Source organism: Homo sapiens, chromosome 1 (genome assembly GCF_000001405.40).
Source record: "Homo sapiens chromosome 1, GRCh38.p14 Primary Assembly".
Taxonomy (NCBI): Eukaryota; Metazoa; Chordata; class Mammalia; order Primates; family Hominidae; genus Homo; species Homo sapiens.
The window spans coordinates 164,922,935-164,944,105 of NC_000001.11; the positions used below are offsets into that span (position 1 = coordinate 164,922,935).

Below are 21,171 nucleotides of genomic sequence, written 5' to 3' on the forward strand. Positions count from 1 at the left end.
CAGACCAGCTGGGAGGTGCATCCACTTACTTTTCACAGCAGCTATCCTGGATCTGAGAGGCTTGGAAGCTGGAAATAGGTGCTAGCCAGAGGTGTGTTTACTGGAGGTTGGCGGGGGCAGAGGAGAAGAAAACAGGGAGATTGAAGACAAGTGTGCATCCTGATTTGAGAAATTAGCAAAGACTGCAGATCTTCAGGAACCTGGACAGTCTAAACATGGGAGATGACTACAGAAGCAATATTTATATGAAAAGATGCTCCATGAGAATGTCAGCCCCATGACAGCAAGAGCTTTATCTTGTTCAGGCCGTCAATTCTTAACCAAAATGATGCATCTTGTTCAAGTCAGATATAAAAAATAAAACACATTGCTTCTGTATTATCAGGGAAGAAAAAGCAAAGGGGGAAAAGCCACTATTTAACAGATACCTGTTCTGTATCTGATATTTTAATACCTTGGTTCTCAAACTTTGTTGCACATTTCAATCACCTGGAAAGATTTTAAAACTCTCAATGCCCTATACCAGTTAATCCACAATAACTGGGGGTGAGAGCCAAGCATCGGCATTTTCTAGAAGATCCTCTGGTGATTCCAATTTGCAGCAAAGCATGAAAACGACTGGCTTCACACATTATTCTTTTAATCTAAAAAATAATCCTGTGAGACAGGCCTCATAAAGTTAGCCCTGTTTTACATATGAAGAAGGATGATAAAAGGATAATCACTTGTCCAAGATCAACCAACAATCAAGAGCCTAACTTTGGTTAGCTTTAAAATGTAAGTACAACACTTATCCAGTGGCTATACTCTTTTCATAGCATATACAACTGCTCAAATTGTTGTAATAAAATGCCAGTTTAAACAACAGAAATTAATTTTCTTGTGGTTCTGGAGGCTGAAAGTCTTAGATGAAGGCCCGGCAAGATGGGTGTCTGGTGGGGGCTCTCTTCCTAGATTGCAGATGCTCACCTTCCTGCTGTGTCTTCATAAGGTAGGGGCAGGGGAAGAAGGAGGGGGAAGACAAGGAGCAGGGGGAGGAGGAGAAGAGAAGGCATTAGCTCTCTGGTGTCTTTTTCTTTTTTCTTTCTTTCTTTCTTTTTTTTTTTAACAGAGTCTTGCTGTCACCCAGGCTGGAGTGCAATGGCATGATCTCGGCTCACTGCAATCTCCGCTTCCCGGGTTCAAGCAATTCTCCTGCCTCAGCCTCCCGAGTAGCTGGCATTACAGGCGCCTGCCACCATGCCTGGCTAGTTTTTGTATTCTTAGTAGAGAAGGGATTTCACCATTTTGGCCAGGCTGGTCTCAAACTCCTGACCTCAAGTGATCCACCCACCTCGGCCTCCCAAAGTGCTGAGATTACAGGTGTGAGCCACTGCACCCGTCCTGGTGTCTCTTCTTATAAGGATATCAATATCAGATCAGGGCCCTACTTTATGACCTCATTTAACCTTAATTATCTCCTTAAAATCTCAGTCTCCAAATATAGTCACACTGGGGCTTAGGGCTTCAGCGTATGAATTTGGAAGTGGCACAATTCAGTCCATGGCACGCAGTAGTTTGGTATCCTACTTACCATTCAGTAGATAACCCATCATTATCCTTCATTGATAGGAAGCATATTCATCACCTAAGAGTAAATGTCAGTTTTTGTGAGATGTCCTCCAACTCACTGAAGAAAGAACAAGAAGCCATAAACTAAAATCTCTAGTATAATGAATTGAGGCTTAGATACTAGAATGTATTTCCTGAACAAGATTGTTCAGCATTTTTAAACAAAAAACATCTAGAAATTTTTTCTACCTCTGCTTCTTTAAGGAACAAGTGAAATTTCAGATGAAATCTGAATCACACTTTTGTGAACCAAGATATTCCGGGAAGGATGGCAGATCAGAACTTAAGGAGCACTTTCTCCCATGCAGGCTGTTCTGAGGTTGATGAAGCACTACTACTGATGCTCAGAGAGAAACATGCCTCGCTGGTCTAATTCTGTGTGGCACGGGCACTTTGCTGGTCCAATTCTATGTGGCACGGGCACTTTTCAGGGCATTCAGCATTTACCGAACCTCCGCTTACACTTTATCCAAGATGGAGGACAATTTCTAACTCTTCATTTACTTCTATTTTTATTCAAAGATAAGACCCTCACAGCAGAAAGGAATTACAGCCTAAATTAGCTGTGGAAGTGGTAGGAAAAGACCTCAGCTCTTTGCAGGAGTCCTAGTGCCTAGGTGCAGATGAAAGGACTTTGTTCTCATCTTGTTAGTAAATAGACAGCTTTCAGACAGGACTAAAGAGCCGAGATCTTTGAGAAACCATATCAAATATGAGACAAGAAAAGTAAAAGCCTATGAAAGTTATCAAGAAAGAGAAAATGATTAAAACTGGAAACTACATACTAATAAAATAGATGTGTATTATTTAGGAAAATTCTCAAATAGAAAATTAACAAATAATGAGTATTTATAAAAGAAATGAGTAATCTCAAGGATTAGCACAGATTTACTTTGAACAATTTATACAACCCTAATGCATGTCCTTATTTTGCTATGATTATTAGACTGACATATCAGGAAAATGCCACATGTCTATTTCAGCAAGACATTTGACAGTATTTTAAATGGTATCCTTATGAACAAGATAAAGAAGTGTGAGCTGGCTGGAAATTCAGTTATATGAATTTATTGGAAAACTCATAAAAATTCACATTTTAGACTGATATTAACAATGGGAAAATTTTAAAATAATAATTATCTTAATTATTTTTAATAATTATCATATTAATGATAACAAATATTTATCTACTGACAGTGTTTTACATGTACTTTCACTTTTTAAAAAAACTCATGGTCATTAAGTCTCATTGGTAAACTTAATGCAGTCTTGTTAAATATTTTTGGCAATTATTTGGTGAATATCATACAAACAGTTTGGAGTGTCAGAAAACTGGGGGACAACACTATGTTGGATTATTTAAAACAGAGATATTGGAAAAAATTCAAGTGATTTTCAAACTTTGCTGATAGCATCAGAATCTTTTCCTTTAGAACATTTTTGAAAGACAGATAGTTGTTAGCATATAAAAGGAAAGTTCTCTGGACTCTAGAAGCATCAAATGAGTCTCACTCAGGAGCAATGTCTGTATTAAAGGCCTCATACATGGTAACTTGAATGTGAACATAACACAAGGAAGCTTGCAGAAATCAACTCCTGCCCTCAAGGAACAGATGACCTAGAACTAATAACAAAGACAGACAGGAAGGTATGATGAGATAAAGACACCCTAATAGACAACCAAGCACACAGCCACAGCCAGACCCGTGAAAAAGAGTGATGGATTACAGTGAGTGCAGGTGGCTGGTTCAGATGCACAGATGGGGGTAGGAGGAGAGAGGGCTCAATCTGTGTGCATGTTCACGTATGAATTTTCTCCCATATGTGCACTGGGGGAAAGCAGAAGGAATATGAAAGTTTTTGTCAGCAACTGGAAGGACAGCCTCTCCTTCATAAAGAGGAGAGACAAATAGTTTGTCATACTGCCTGGCTACTTCCTCAAGCAGTTACCAGAGAGTACTCTCCCTGGATAAAGCTTGTCCCTTGGGGTGCAAATGCCTTGCCTTTTCCTCTTGCACTCACATGCAGGAAGGGGAGGTAGAATCTGCCTTGAGTTCACCCCTCCATTGACCCCAGTCCTGGAGCTTCCCCACAGACCTGGACAATGCTGAAAGCCAAAGGTCACAGGAGTAGAGAAGCAGCAGACAGGTGAGGAACTCCAGGGAGATGAGTCCTTGCCCCAATGTACTAGAGGTAGGGCTGCTACTGTTTAATTCGTACCTGGATGGGATGAAAAGGATCAGCCACCCAGTGGAAAGGGGCAGGTGTTCGAAGCCACCTTGTGATTTAATATGCTGTCTATGGGGTTTCTCCCAAAGTAGATGGGAAAGTCTTCAAAGACAGGAAGATGTTGTCTGCCCACTCAATCTGTCCCTAACTCCCCGCAAAGGCTCCTAAAACATATGGAGCTACTCTAGAACAGTGTGTCTCAGGGTGCTGTGGCTTTTCAATCACCTAATTTAGCTGCCTTTGACACTTGATAAATACAAAGTCCTAGAACCTGTCACATAACTGCTAAATCAGAACCCCTGGAAGAGAGTTCAGAACCTGAATATTTTAGATGCTTCACAGATGATAGAGATAAACACAAGAGTTTGTGACGCTTCACAGATGATGCAGATAAACACAAGAGTTTGTGAACCAGCGTCCCAGAGGACTTAAAAATCTCAGCTGTATAATGCTGGATTCTGAGCCAGACAGCCTGAGTTTTAAATCTCTGCTTCTTGCTCACTGTAAGACCTTGGGCAAGTTACCAAACCTTTCTACACCTTGATTTCCCCATCTGTAAAATGGGGATAATAATAATCTCTACCTCAAAGAGTTGTGAGGATTAAATGAATATACAAAACACACATGTAAAGCACTTAGAACACTGACCAACACACAGTAAACCGTCAGAAGTGTAAGCAGTTATTATCTGATCCTGCTCAGTGTATGGAGTAGGAAGTAGAAGTGCAATTCGAGAAGCAATGCACAGCCAGTTGAAGACTCCATGACAACTAAAAGCCAGGTCTTTGTACTTTCCTGACAGGGCACTTTCTGTTTTTGTTTCTTCCCTTCAGGGCACTTTCTGCTTTTGTTTCTTCCCTTCTATCTCTCTCTTTTTTTTTTTTTTTTTTTGAGACTGAGTCTCGCTCTGTTACCCAAGCTGGAGTGCAGTGGGTGATCTCGCCTCACTGCAACCTCCACCTCCTGGATTCAAGCGATTCCCCTGCCTCAGCCTCCTGAGTAGCTGGGACTATAGGAGTGCACCACCACAGCCGGCTAATTTTTGTACTTTTAGTAGAGACAGGGTTTCACCATGTTGGCCAGGCTGGTCTTGAACTCCTGATCTCAGGTGATCTGCCCGCCTCGACCTCCCAAAGTGTTGGGATTACAGGCGTGAGCCACCGCGCCCGGCCTCTTCCCTTTTCTCTTCAAGGGGATTCCAAAGTTTGGTGCTCAATCACTAAGAATGATCCAAATGTGCTTTTTATAAACAGTTCCATAGGGAAAACAAAGAAAGGCTAAATACCATTTGGAGAACCAGTTCCGAGTGCTGCCAGCGTATGTTTGGTCAGAACCCAGGCGAGAAGTCATGATCAGAGAGTACAGCAATGAAAGACTCCATGGGAGAATCTTGGCCATCTCTTTTATGGGCCAGGAAACCATGCCCCTGAGAGTTGTAGTGATTGATGTGCATATGATCCAAGATTATGACTTTAATGCACAACTCCTGACTCCCAGTCCAGTGCTCTTGCCCTTTCCCGACCCTAGGAAATGAGATGCCATGTGCTTTGGAGCCACCGAGTCTGAGCCTCCTGGATGGGACATTTTGCAGACTCCTCCACGCCCAGATCTTTTGGCCTGCCTTCTGACAATCCCTCCACCAGCCGACAGCCATCTGCATACAGCAGTGACAGCTGAGGTTAGAAGGCATTGCTAAGGAGGACTTGGAAGAAACCAATTCAAAAGTGCTCAGATTTTAATAGAAAAGGCCTTCAGGGATTCTTCTAAATCATGCAGAGCAAAGCAGTTCTTCAAGTGACCCCAGCCTTGTCCTTTTTATAACTTCCTCCAAATGAGGGGTGGTTGGGGACTCATACAGGAACAGCTCCTTATTCCTGGCAACAAGTTTCAGTGATACTGGGTGTCTCTGTGACCAGCTGTCCTTTAAGGGTTCTCAGCAATAGTCTTGGTTCCAGCCTAAGGATTCCCATGAGGCCCCTCTTCTCTTCAGCGCTGTGTCTACTCTTCAGCCAATAAACGTCAGCCCTCTTTCACCCACTGCTTCCTCACATCCCCTCTTACTGTAGGTAGGGTTCAGGGTCCACATTTCTGGCCAGCATTCAGAGGAGAAAAGAGGATTGGCATGAGCAGGCAGGAGAGAGAGAGCCTGGTGCCTGGAAACGACTCAGCATCTTGCCCTTGTTACTAATAATCCTCCCAAAATCACCGAATGGTTTCTGGGCATTAAAGTTATCGTTTGCCATAAACCCCTTGTCTGTTTTCTGGAGAGTTTAATATATTGCAGGAAGTTTCACCCATAAAAGGTGATGGCTGCGCTCCTGTGAGTGAGCTGGACGCCTGTAACTTATGACCTTCATAAATGTGAGTGGGTCTCGCGAGCAAGTCCATCAGTCTTTGGAGTAATTCTGCTTCGTAGTAAAATATTTTACTGTGCATACTCCTGTCAGCATTTACCTCAGTGGTGTGGAGACTTCCCGTTCCTGCTGCCTCTTGCTCCCTACTCTTGCACCATTTTCAGTGATCTCAGTCTCAGACTCCAGTCTGAGACACACAGAATCATCTGCTTTTTTAGGGCTGCAGCCCAGCTCAATCCAGGGACTTGTGGGACTTGGAAAGCAGCAGAATCAATGTAGCATTATTTATCACTGTGACATTTTGGGTACTTTTCTTTGCTTGCAGAACTTGAAGGAGTAAGCCAAGAAAGCCATCACTTTAACCAGGGAGGGTCCTTCATTATCAAATGGGACTGTGCTTGAAGACGATTCGCAAGCTGTAGAGTCTTCTAGAAGCGGGAGACTTTTTGTCACTCTGATGAAGCATGGCAGTTAACATTCTGCTTCATAGTCCCAGAGACCTAAATAGGGTTTATCAGAGTCACAGGCTTAACACCGGCCCAGAAAATAACCAAACGCTTTTTATGCAGCGTGGATCAGTAGCGAGAACACTCCTGTTAACAAGCTCAAGTTTCAGCTCCGCCACCTGCTTGCCAGGTGATGTTGGGCAAATTACTCATTTCCCCTATGCCTCAGTTTCCAAAGGTATAAAATACTATGCCATCTCCATCTCAGTGTTGACATGAAAAGCAGATTAAATACTTCATAACAGCAAAAACTGTCATAATTGCCATGTGGTAATGTTGTCACAGTAAGGAATAATGGAGGGGTAAAGGCTTAGAGGAAATGAAGCCAAGTGGAAAATGAGAGCACTAATAAAAAGGATTCAAGAGAAAAAGAAGCAGTTGAATAGAATAAGTGGAATATCTGGCTTTTGAAATCAGGTGTCACTGCTGTTACGAGGATGGGCAGTGCTGGGAGCTGTGAGTTGGTGACCATACTAGAGGGGGCTGGCTTTGTGAGGCTCGGGGGATGGTTCATCTGCCTGGTAACCTGCTACTTCCAGAAACTGTCCATGGCCTGGTCTCAGGGCAATTCAGTTCATTTCCAATTCAACAAATATTTGTTGAATGCCTATTGTGCCAGGCACTACTGTAGATTTTTGAGATTCATCAGTGAATAGAACAAAAATCTCTGCCCTTGAGGAGCTTACAATCTAGAGAAGGAAGTTGTCTGCTGCATATCCACACCAGATAACCAGTTCCTCAAACACAGAATGGTACGTAGAGTAGCAGAGGCCCTACCTTCCCATTGGTTCTCCTGTCCCTCAAGTGGACACTAGGGGACGTTGATAAAAACTGATGCTGTGGGATATTGAATAGAGAGCTCCTCAGACTCTATGGGGCTCTGCAAGTCCATCCTTCCTCCTTCCCTCCCTCCTTCTCTTTCTTCCCTTCTTTCTTCCCTCCACTGGGTACATCATTTTCATATTACAGGTGGAAACAAGTTCATTCCATCAGTCACTAGTGTAGCTGAATTTAGAATATGCCTTCAAATCTGCTTCTGAAAAATATTTGACAAATTTCTAGGAACACTTACAGTGAGAGCAGAGAGACAGACAAGGCAACAGGATGGAGCAGAGGAAACTTGATAAATAGAAGAAGCAGGAGATTGTTCCCCAGGAAAAATCAACGTCCCATGGCATTTTAAAGACTTTCAGAACTGCCCAACAGTTATAATCTAGGGGTTACCTCTTGCCTCAATTTGAGAAGCCTGGTTACTGCGAAGACAATCATATATTCTTTAATCTATAACTTGTTTGAGTAATTAGCTTATGTTGGTTAGTTATTGCTATGTAATGACCAGATTCTCAGTGTTGTGCAACAGTGAGCACTGATTTAGCTCACATGTCCTCAAGCTACCCTGGGAGTTGACTGCTATGGTCTGGGCTTCACTGGGCATCTCTAAGCCTGTGGTTCTGAGGCTTCATTCTTCTCCCTACTCTCTCTGCTCTCACTCTAGTAATTAGAAGCTATTTTAAATGTTCTTCAGAAGCAAGTTTGAAACTGAATTTTAAATTCAGCCACACCAGTCATTGATAGGATAAAATTGTACCTATTAGTCTGTTTTAGAACACAAATGACCTGTGATAGAAGATTGATATACACACTGGAAGGGAGGGAGGAAGAATGGAAGGAAAGAAAGAAGGAAGGAAGGGAGTAATTTCCAAAAATAACTGGACTAGCAGCATCAGCAACACATGGAAACTTATTTAAAATGCAAACCATCCAGACCTCCCCCAGACCGACTGTATCAGGGTCTCTTGGACTGGGTCCCAGCAATCTGTGTTTTAGTGAGCTTTCCTGGTCATTCTGATATTAACATTTGAGAACCACTGCCCTAAGGTACAGGTTAGATCTTTCATCTTTCAAGGACCAGTCAGCTAGTCAGGGCATACTTTTCTCATGAAAATGGCAAGGTGCAGGAGGGAGAGCAGCAATGTGTGGCACCTCTCAGGCTGACACGAGGAATTGGCAGCTGATATACTGTCTGCCCAAATTTCACTGGCCAAGCAGCCATGTGACCAGGGACAAATAATTGGGACAGAGAACCCAATTTACCACAGAACTTAACAAAAATAATGTTGAGATACCACTTTATGATCTATGGTGCTCTTTTACGTACATTATCTGATTTAATTCTCATAACAACACTGTGAGGTAAGAGGTATCTCCATTTAATGGAAGAAAAAAGGAGATTCTTAGATGTCGAGGTCAATGTCGCATAGCTAATAAGACCTAGGTCTCCCATCTCCACATTTGGAACTATTTCATTGCATCAAACTTCTACCCCATAGGTTCATAAGGATCCTGGATTTCTTTCATGATCAAAAACATCTCCAATGTACAGTGCAATATATTTCCTGTACCCTAGAGTCCCTATGCACACAGGGAGAATGAGAATCAGAAACAGGAACATATTTTTACCTATTATCAGCCTCACATTAGACAGTTGACTCTATTTCCAGGTTTCACAGTCCCAGCCTTTTTTTGCTTCTAGTGTTTCCTCATAAACTTGAATTTCAAGGTTCCATGAGCCTTCCTTTGAATACCCTGCAACTTAAAATTTTCATACAAGGGATTTTTCTATAGGAAGCTTTCTTTGACTCATTTTCATGATTTTCTGATTTCATGAGAGTGTTACAAGGTGGGTGGGGTGAATAAGAGCACAGAAAAAGAAAGAGCAAAGAAGCACAGTTTCCTTGTGCAGCTGAAGACACAATCCAGAGAGGGAAATAAGATTGAGAAGGAAAATAAAAGGAAGAAGAAAACATGACATAGAGGACATAATGTTTCCTCGTGCTGTGGTATAGAATGCAGAAATTTTATCAGCTAAAGCTGAAGGGGAATTTTAGTGCCTCTGATGACTTAAAAAATCTAATTAAAAAATGGTTTTTTTAAATCAGTCTAACATTTGTTTCTAAACATTTCAACAGATTGAGAGAAAATATTTTTTAAAACTTTTATGAGGGCTTGGCGTAGGAAAAGAGTCCTACGCTAATCCCTTCTTTTCTCATAGGAAAAGAGTCGTTTGTTATTTCTACTTTTATGTGTAAGGCAAGCGTCTTCCTCCCTTTTTCCTTTCCTGCCCAGCCCCCAGCTTGCCCCTCCTCCCCTGACTACTTGGTAATTTAAGATGCCTGAGGTGCTATAGGAGAAAAATATGACCCTGATTCTGAGTGTGATCTATAGGGAGCCCTGGCTGCACACCTTAATTATTGCTAACAAAGTAACATTTTAATAGCTTTAGGTTGAAATTGATGAGCCCTCCTGTTTGCTGGAAGCCTTGCAAAGACACAATATGACATCTTGTAGGAAAAAAAAAAGAGAGAAAGAAAGAATGCAGTGGTGTTAAAGTATCTGGCTCTGTGTGCAATGGCCAGTTTTTAAAAAGCACATTATCCGTGTTCAGCAACTTTTTCCTTAGAACTTAAAGTCCATTAGAGCTCATATGTTCATGTAATGCATTTCCATCTTCCTATGAATAGGATATAAATATTATTGTTTCCTTTCACCGAAGAAAGGCACCGTGAAGGGACAGCACAAAGTCTTCTAGCAAGGGAAAGATGAGCAGCTGAACATGAGATGCTAAATTCTCTAAGCCCAGTGACTTCTCCACTTACTTTTATAGTGGTGTTCATTGTAAATGGTGGATGTAGGGTGACAAATTAGGTGGTTTAGAGGACTGCAACGAAGTAAGAAAAGAGGACTTCACCTCCAGCTTCCAAGGTAGAACTGCAGAAGTCCCAGTATTAAGTGACAGTGACTATCTAGGCCCCGAGGAGGCTTGAGCTTATAGCAGGTCTTCAATCTGTCACAAGTTTTGAAGAACTCTCCTATCTAATAGTCCCAGTTAACGCATATAGTGGTTATGATTTCTCAGGCGACACTCCTAGTCCACAGCACCCATAGTCTCCTCTGGCATCCATGATGATGTCTGATCTTGGTCATTAGTTCCTGGAAGTCATATCATAGCTCCCCTCATTGCCCAAATGCAAGGCCGTTTTGGCTCTGCTCACCCCCTCACAGCTACTGCAGAGCCCCTCCCAAAGGACACCCAGACCCGATTCTGTAGCACCATTGCAGGATCGTGAGAAAATAATTCGGGTACTGCAGACCCTCTCTACTTAGAAAAGACAAGCCACTATTTCTACAGTCCTGATAGAGCACTAAGATGCTTCAGGGAAACTTCTCAGTATTATATGACTTTAAATCTGGGGAGTGGGAGTGGAGCTGGGTGCAGGGGATGCATAGATCCTTCTGAGAGACCCACAACAAAGTCTAATTCTATCCTTCTCCTCTCTGCCTCTCCTCCATCTCTCAAGGAACTCAGATTTGCTTTTCTTTTCTTTTCTTTTTTTTTTTTTTTTTGAGATGGAGTCTTGCTCTGTCACTAAGGCTGGAGTGCAGTGGAGTGATCTCGGCTCACTGCAGCCCCTGCCTCCCGAGTTCAAGCGATTCTGCTGCTTCAGCCTCCCGAGTAGATGGGACTACAGACACGCATCACCAGGCCTGGCTAATTTTTGTATTTTTTTAGTAGAGATGGGGTTTCACTATGTTGGCCAGTCTGGTCTCAAACTCCTGACCTTAAGTGATCTGCCCGCCTTGGCCTTCCAAAGTGTTGGGATTACAGGCGTGAGCCCCTGCGCCGGCCCAGATTGTCTTCTGTATGGGAGAAAAGGGCTCAGCACATCTTCTTCCAAGTCAATTTATATGACAAAATTTTTATTCCCTATGTCCTTAAGAATCTTATTTTTCATTATTCAATAGTTACGTATGGGGAGTTCAAAACATCCCACCTCCCTCCTTTTTTTTTCCTCCCAAAATGTTGAATTTGGAAATTCTATATTAAGAACACAGAAGCTAAACTTTGGTTTCTGTTGTTTTCTCCTTGCATCTCTACATTCTGGGTAGTGAGCAAAGAATATCTCACTATTCTCTGAGTTGGAGAGGAAAGGAGGTGGTGGGAAGATTTACCAAGGAAGATGGCTGAGGATAATACTTCAAACTATTCTCTTATGTTACAGTTTTGTTCCTATCATTAAAGAAGAGACAGAACAAACCCAGAGAGAGTGGAAATAAGAGTGTCCCCTTTCTCAAGAATTAGCCACTCAGTAAGAAGAAAAAATGGGAAAAGAGCTCAAGTCAGCAGAGGAGAAAGAGGAGAAAGTAAAGAGCCATTAAAACATGCTGGGTCTTTTAGCAGGTATTATTTTTCCATATAGCCATACAATCATAAACATAACTCAATAATAAATGGCTTCCTGGTGAATAATATTGAGCTAAGGCTTATTTAAAAAGTCCCAATACACCTGAGTCAAATTCATATCATATCTTGTTACATGTGACACTCGGTGTGTATACATAACAGTAAATACTCAAGCCATTATGTGACAGTAAACGGGGTGGCGGGCGGGGGGAGGGGGCGTCCTGAAACTATTTGCAAGAAGTGGGGCAGGGGGTAGAAGAATGCCATTGTAAAGAGATTAAAGAAAGGTAGGTCATCCTATTGACATAAAGGGGATTAAAGAAGATAGGAATACCTAATAACATTTGCAAAAGCATATCTGAAACTCCTAAAGGATCAGCGGAATAGAGTTATGAGGTCTCAATGACAAATAATCTTGAAGGTATATTGGGCATTTTAGGTGGGGTTAGAACTGACAGCTGTCAGCCAAGAATGGAGGTGACCATTCTCAGATTCTCAGTTTGATGTATATCTCAACAAGTTTGCTCTATATCTAAGATTTCTTCAGACCCTGCAGAGAAAAAAAATCATTGAAGGAGTTTCTGAATGATTAAATCAAATTTTCATAAAGAATTCTGTTGGTATCAAGATTCAAACCCCTGTAAAGAATCAATGCATCAAACAAGATAGGAGCTTCTAATATGCAAATATGCAAAATAAATGACGGCAGGTTGAAAAGAAGCTCATCTTTCTTAAAATTTAAAGCTATAGATTTTGCTGTAGACTGGGTTCCCCAGGAAGCAGAGCCTGAGGCAAAAGCCTAAGTGCCACGACTTTATTCAGGAGTGCGATCCCAGGGGAGCAGAAGTGAGGGAAAATGGGCCGCGGGCAGGGAAAAAGGGAGAGATGGTGTGAGAGGTTTCCAAGCTGTCCAGCCTCTGGCGTCAAGCGCAAGTGACTGCTGGATCCCACAGGGCCATCTTCTGAGGCACCTTATAGATAGTTGCTTGTCAGGACAGTCCATCCAGGAGAAGGAAGACAGAAGAATTCATCGGATGTCCCCTTCTCACATTAGGTAAAGGTTCAACTCACGGGGAAGTTAACTCCCCTGTTCTTCCTGGTTGTTTATGGTTTAGCAATAACAGGGACTTCCCTGGGCAGGAGGCAAAGAGAGCAGTATAGAGCAGTATGTGTGTGAAGAAGCATGAAGAGAGGTGCAACATGTCAGGCATGAAGTCCGTGTTGTCTACACAGAACTGGTCACCACCACACCCAAGGCTCTCGGAGATGGGCAAGGCAAAGAGGATGTCAGGGGACAGGATGGTAACTGTTACAATCTTTTAAGTAAAGACTTAGTTTCACATCTCCTCAAATAAGAGAATGAGATGTCTAGTAGTGTGGATATTCACTGAAAACAGGAAGTTTTACCCAAGAATTCTTAACAGTAAGTGAAGAGTATATGGGTTAAACCTGTATCATTGTCCAAACAAGTTGGGAAAAGGTTTCCTTCACATGTTCAGCTTTCTTGAAATCAGAGAGAACATTGAAAAAGATATCTTATTAAGTAGCAAGTGATATTGTGGTCATTAATAATAATAGCTAACATTTATAGAGGTCTTACAATGTGCTAGGCACTGTTTTAATTCACTAATGCAATTAATGAACTCTTGCATTGATATACTACATAGCAACTGAGGCACAGAGAAGCCAAATGTCTTGCCCACAAGCACACAGCAATTAAGTGGTTTAACCAAGATTCAACTCTGTAACTCCAGAACATACTCTTAGCCCTTATATTGGTCCTTGACTTTTTGCTAGAGAATAAAATTGCAATTACTTCTCTTTTCCAAAATTCATGTCTGCTTCTGATAAGTCTTGAGGTTTTCTTAAAATGTAATTAGGAATATGCATATTTCCCAAATAATATTCAAGCACCATAACCTCTGGAAAATAATGCAACTGCCAGAATTGTGATAAAAGGGAAACAACCCCCCTCAACTTAATAGCAGCAAGGTAACTAATTGACCATATGTGCCCGTTGGGTGAGATAGCAACACCTCAGAAAACATCTCGGTGACCAGAGGGCATCTCAGGTGAATTAGGAAACAGTTCCTTTCTCTAGGAGGGTGCAGGCATCAGCCCACACTATTCCTCTAGGCCCGGATGCTTTTTGCAGAGTGAACAAACAGCAGCAGTGAGTTGGGATGGGGGTGGGGATTTTAAGAGACTGAATCAAGTTCAGAGAGCCCCCACTGACTCCAAAGCATGCTTTTAACTGTCATATTCCCACTATGAACCAGGGGGAAAAAATCTCAGTTCCTTGTCCAGAAAGCTTCCAAAAGAAAATCTTGCCTGCTCTTAATGTATTTTTTTCATGCTCCACAGATGTCCTTTCTCATAAATTCAGAAGTATCTGCACGTCCCAAGGTGAGCTGGTATCTTCATTTTATTGCCAGCAGTTTGCAGGCAATGGATCTGACATTAAAAAAATACAGCACTCACTTTTGAGAGTGTGACCCTCTTTCCCAACTCCTTCCTAATCTTTTTCCAATTCCCTTTGCTCTTTTCACCTCTGTGCTTCTGGTTAACACACATGGGGGCTTTGGAGACTCCCCTGATCCTTTGACTTCTTGCTCAATCGGGAAAGGATGCATTTTTCTCTACAGATTGCCTCATAGAGACGCAGCATCTGTCTAAGACAAAAAGAGCCTCCAGAGAACTTACTTTAGCTGTTTGCCAACTAACCCATTTTGCATGCTTCCTGAGAAGAAACAATGCACACCATCTCTACAGGAGGAAGCAGGAGAGATATTGGTTCCATGTAAATATCTCAAAGGAAATTTATGATGCTGATGGGAAATTTAAGACCCTTAAAATAATTGCTGGTTTGTGAATCCAGGCAGTACATTTTTATCACCTCATGCCTGTGCCTTCCCTCATCCCCTTCCTGAGGGAGAGTGGTCATGGATTCAGTGGTCTCTCCACCTCTCCCTCCTTAATGGCACTTGCTGGGGAGAATTTTGATAATCCACCATTTCAGTTAACTTGAGTAGATTTGTGTGCTTTTAAATAGAAAGCCCTTTCACTCCTTCTGGATATAGTTCAGTGTCCTGTGTGACTTGCAGGGACTGTTAGTTCTCTACCCACTCTCCATATTCTCATTCTTTTTTTCTATTATAATGGCTTTATTTTATTATAGCACAGAGGTTACCATAAAGTCTCTGAAGTCAGACTATCTGACTTTAAATCTTGACCTTTCTACTTCCCTGCTGATGACCTTGGGCCAGTTACTTGCTTTTTCCCCAGTTTCTTTTTTTTATTTATTATTATTATTACACTTGAAGTTCTAGGGTACATGTGCACAACCTGCAGGTTTGTTACATATGTATACATGTGCCATGTGGGTGTGCTGCACCCATGAACTCGTCATTTACATTAGGTACATCTCCTAATGCTATCCCTCCCCCATCCCCCCACCCCACAACAGGCCCCGGTGTGTGATGTTCCTCTCCCTGTGTCCAAGTGTTCTCATTGTTCAATTCCCACCTATGAGTGAGAACATGCGGTGTTTGGTTTTCTGTCCTTGCAACAGTTTGCTGAGAATGACGGTTTCTAGCTTCATCCATGTCCCTAGAAAGGACATGAACTTATCCTTTTTTATGGCTGCATAGTATTCCATGGTGTATATGTGCCAGATTTTCCTAATCCAGTTTATCATTGATGGGCATTTGGGTTGGTTCCAAGTCTTTGTTATTGTGAATAGTGCCGCAATAAACATATGTGTGCATGTGTCTTTATAGCAGCATGATTTATAATCCTTTGGGTATATACCCGGTAATGGGATGGCTGGGTCAAATGGTATTTCTAGTTCTAGATCCTTGAGGAATCGCCACACTGACTTCCACAATGGTTGAACTAGTTTACAGTCCCACCAACAGTGTAAAAGTGTTCCTATTTCTTCACATCCTCTCCCTTCACATCCTCTCCAGCACCTGTTGTTTCCTGACTTTTTAATGATTGCCATTCTAACTGGTGTGAGATGGTATCTCATTGTGGTTTTGATTTGCATTTCTCTGATAGCCAGTGATGATGAGCATTTTTTCATGTGTCTGTTGGCTGCATAAATGTCTTCTTTTGAGAAGTGTCTGTTCATATCCTTTGCCCACTTTTTGATGGGGTTGTTTGATTTTTTTCTTGTAAATTTGAGTTCCTTATAGATTCTGGATATTAGCCCTTTGTCAGATGGGTAGATTGCAAAAATTTTCTCCCATTCTGTAGGTTGCCTGTTCACTTTGTTGGTAGTTTCTTTTGCTGTGCAGAAGCGCTTTAGTTTAATTAGATCCCATTTGTCAATTTTGGCTTTTGTTGTCATTGCTTTTGGTGTTTTAGACGTGAAGTCCTTGCCCATGCCTATACCCTGAATGGTATTGCCTAGGTTTTCTTCTAGGGTTTTTATGGTTTTAGGTCTAACATTTGTCTTTAATCCATCTTGAATTAATTTTTGTATAAGGTGTAAGGAAGGGATCCAGTCTCAGCTTTCTACATATGGCTAGCCATTTTTCCCAGCACCATTTATTAAATAGGGAATCCTTTCCCCATTTCTTGTTTTTGTCAGGTTTGTGAAAGATCAGATGGTTGTAGATGTGTAGTATTATTTTTGAGGGCTCTGTTCTGTTCCATTGGTCTATATCTCTGTTTTGGTACCAGTACCATGCTGTTTTGGTTACTGTAGCCTTGTAGTATAGTTTGAAGTCAGGTAGCATGATGCCTCCAGCTTTGTTCTTTTGGCTTAGGATTGTCTTGGCAATGCTGGCTCTTTTTTGGTTCCATATGAACTTTAAGGTAGTTTTTTCCAATTCTGTGAAGAAAGTCATTGGTAGCTTGATGGGGATGGCACTGAATCTATAAATTACCTTGGGCAGTATGGGCATTTTCATGATATTCATTCTTCCTATCCATGAGCATGGAATGTTCTTCCATTTGTTTGTGTCCTCTTTTATTTTGTTGAGCAGTGGTTTGTAGTTCTCCTTGAAGAGGTCCTTCACATCCCTTGTAAGTTGGATGCCTAGGTATTTTATTCTCTTTGAAGCAATTGTGAATGGGAGTTCACTCATGACTTGGCTCTCTGTTTGTCTGCTATTGGTGTATATGAATGCTTGTGATTTTTGCACGTTGATTACATCGATGCAGAAATCCTCAGTAAAATACTGGCAAACTGAATCCAGCAGGACATCAAAAAGCTTATCCACCATGATCAAGTGGGCTTCATCCCTGGGATGCAAGGCTGGTTCAACATACGCAAATCAATAAATGTAATCCAGCATATAAACAGAACCAAAGACAAAAACCACATGATTCTCTCAACAGATGCAGAAAAGGCCTTTGACAAAATTCAACAGTCCTTCATGCTAAAAACTCTCAATAAATTAGGTATTGATGGGACGTATCTCAAAATAATATGAGCTATTTTTGACAAACCCACAGCCAATATCATACTGAATGGGCAAAAACTGGAAGCATTCCCTTTGAAAACTGGCACAAGACAGGGATGCCCTCTCTCACCACTCCTATTCAACATAGTGTTGGAAGTTCTGGCCAGGGCAATCAGGCAGGAGAAAGAAATAAAGGGCATTCAATTAGGAAAAGAGGAAGTCGAATTGTCTCTGTTTGCAGATGACATGATTGTATATTTAGAAAACCCCATTTTCTCAGCCCAAAATCTCCTTAAGCTGATAAGCAACTTCTCATTCTTCTTTCTAAGGGAACCCTTGTGTCTTTGGGCTGCCATGTGTCCAGATAAAAGACATTTTTCCAAGCCCTCTAGGAGCTGGGTGTAGCCAGTTGACTCAATACTAGCCAATGAGACGTAAATAGGAGCTGTTGAGAGGAACTTCTGTGAAAGCAGCATAAAACAGATTGCCTGGGAGCTTCTTTCTGCCCCTCTGCCTTTCCTCCTTCTTTGGGTCTGCAACTTAAACATGAAGGCTGGACCTTTAGTTGACAACTTGAACCATGAAGCAATCTTGAGGGAAAAATTTTTAGCTAGGAGTGGCAGAAAAAAAAAAAAAAAGACATAAGGATCCTAGTTTTCTGATAACTGAAGAACTGTTGTATCAGCCCTGAGTTGCCTACCCTCAGCCTTATTTTATCCAAGAGGAAATAAAGTTCCATCTCATTTTAACTAAGGTTGTTTTATTTTTCTATGCTATGCAGCAATACCTAACCCTAACTAATATATTACCTGTGTGATGAGAAAACATCAGTAATGCCTTCTCCTAACAGATTGATCAGGTATATTTGTAAATGATCATTATATTTGTTAATATTCTTTAGGTGGCAAGTAACAAAAGCCAATTAGAGTTAGAAAACTAGAAAAGGAGAACGTATTATGAAGTATGGATGTGCCCATTTTTTTCTCTATTTCAGCACCACCATTTCACCCTGCTTCTAGGAGTCTGACTATATTATATTAATCATATAAATGGTATCATGAGTATTTGTTCTTATGTGTATGCCTTGTTTTTCATGTAGTATGTCTTCCAGGTTCATCTATGATGATGTTGTAAATGGCAAGATTTCTTCTTTTTAAAGGCTGATTAATATTCCAATGCACTCCACATATTCTGTACATATGTACAGACTATGTGTGTGTATATATATATACACACAGAATATGTATATATATTATATATATGTGTGTATGTGTGTATATATATATATACACACAGAATATGTATATATATTATATATATGTGTGTATGTGTGTATATATATACATATTTTATATATATAATATATATTATTATATATAATTCAATTAGGAATTTTATATATATATAAAAGCTTTTGAGGTACAAGTGGGATTTGGTTACATGGATGAATTGTAGAGTGGTGAAGTCCGAGATGTTAGTGCACCCATCACCTACGTAGTGAACATTGAACCCAATATGCAATTTGTTATCCCTCATGCTCCTCCCACCCTTCTCCCAACCTCTTCCTCCCACCCTCCTCCCTTCAGAGTCTCCAATGTCCATTATACCACTCTGCATACCTCTGCCTACCCATAGCTTAGCTCCCACTTATAAGAGAACCTATGGTATTTGGGGTATTTGGTTTTCCATCCCTGAGTTACTTTACTTAGCATAATAGCCTCCAGCTCCATTCAGGTGGCTGCAAAAGACATTATTTTATTCCTTTTCATGGCTGTGTAGTATTCCGTGGTGTATATACACTACATTTTTCTTATCCACTTATTAGTTGATGGACATTTAGGTTGGTTCCGTATCTTTGCCACTGTGAATTGTGCCATTATAAACATATGTGTGCAGGTATCTTTTTGATATAATGACTTACTTTCCTTTGGGTAGATACTAAGTACTTGAGATTGCTGGATCAAATGTAGATGTATTTTTAGTTCTTTGAGAAATCTTCATACTGTTTTCCACTGAGGTTGTACTAATTTACATTCTCATCAGCAGTGTATCAGTGTTCCCTTTTCACCACATTAATGTCAATGTCTATTGTTTTGTGACTTTTTAATAATGGCAATTCTGGTTGGGGTAAGATGGTATCTCACTGTGATTTTAACATTTATTTCCCTGACGATTAGTGATCTTGAGCAATTTTTTCATATATTTGTTGGCCATTTGTATAACTTCACTTGAGAAGTGTTCATGTCATTTGTCCACTTTTTGATGAGTTTTTTTTTTCTTGCTGATTGTTTGAGTTCCTTGTAGATTCTGGATATTAGTCCTCTGTCTGATGCATAATTCACAACTATTTTCTCCCATTCTATGATTGTCTGTTTACTCTGATGATTACATACTTTGCTGTGCACAAGTGTTTTAGTTTAATTAGGTCTCATTTATTTATTTTTGTTTTTCTTGCATTTGCTTTTGGGGTCTTAGTCATAAATTCTTTGCCTAGGCTAATGTCCAGAAGAGTTCTTTCTAGGTTTTCTTCTAGAAATTTTATGTTTTCAGGTCACAGATTTAAGTCTTGGATCCATCTTGAGATCCATATACATTTTAGTATATGGTGAGAGATTAGGATCAAGGTTCATTCTTCTACATGTGGCTACCCAATTTTCCCAGCACCGTTTATTGACTAGGGTATCCTTTCCCCAGTTTATATTTTTGTATGTTTTGTTGAAGATGTTGATTGTAAGTATTTGGCTTTATTTCTTCGTTCTCTATTCTATTCCGTTGGTCTATGTGTCTACTTTTATACCATGTCATGCTGGTTTTTTTTGTTTGTTTGTTTCCTATAGCCTGATAGTATAATTTGAAATTGGGTAATGTGATGCTTCCAGATTTGTTATTTTTGCTTAGAATTGTTTTGGCTGTTTGGGCTCTTTAAAATTCCATATGAATTTTAGGATTTGTATTTTGATAGGAATTGCGTTGAGTCTCTAGTTTGCTTTGGGCAGTATGTTCAGTTTCATGATATTGATTCTTCCAATCCATGAACATGGAATGTATTTGACATTTGTTTGTGTCATTTATGATTTCTTTCAGCAGTATTTTATAGTTTTCCTTGGAGAGAGCTTTCACCTCCTTGGTTAAATATATTCCTAGTTGGGTTGTATTGTTTTGTTTTGCAGCTATTGTGAAAGGGATTGAGTTCTTGATTTTATTCTTGGCTTGATCGTTGTTGGTGTATTACAGTGTTACTTATTTGCATACATGGATTTTGTAACCTGAGACTTTACTGAATTCATTTATCAAATCTAGGAGTATTTTGGAGGAGTTTTTAGGGCTTCCTAGGTATACAGTCATATCATAAGCAAACACAGATAGTTTGTTTTCCTCTTTTCTCAACTTGGATGCCCTTTATTTCTTGCTCTTGCTTGATTGTTCTGGCTAGGACTTCCAGTACTCTGTTGAATGTAAGTGGTGAAGCGGGTATCCTTGTCTTGTTCTCATTCTTAGGGGGAACACTTCCAACTTTTTCCCATCTGTATGATGTTGGCTGAGGGTTTGTCCTATCTACATATTCTTTATCCATTCATCCATCCATGAACGCTTACATAGCTTCTGAGTATTGGCTATTGTTAATAATGATGTAATGAGTATGGGAGTGCAGATATCTCTTCAAGATTCTGATTTCAATTCCTTTGGATATATACCCAGACATGATATTGCTGGATCATATGATAGTTCTATTTTTAAGTTTTTTAGGAATCTCCATACTGTTTTTTATAGTGGCTGCATCAACTTGTATTCCCACCAATGATGTACAAATGTTCCCT

At 40.6% G+C, this 21,171-nt stretch overlaps 1 annotated feature.

Annotated features, from left to right (window-relative positions):
• Nucleotides 516-1,715: an enhancer, noted in NCBI's record as "BRD4-independent group 4 enhancer chr1:164892687-164893886 (GRCh37/hg19 assembly coordinates)". NCBI's record gives its function as "activates an origin of replication core promoter dependent on BRD2, P300/CBP, MED14 and CDK7 cofactors, and independent of BRD4, by STARR-seq in HCT116 cells {active_cell/tissue: HCT116}" and the evidence as "EXISTENCE:reporter gene assay evidence [ECO:0000049][PMID:35650434]".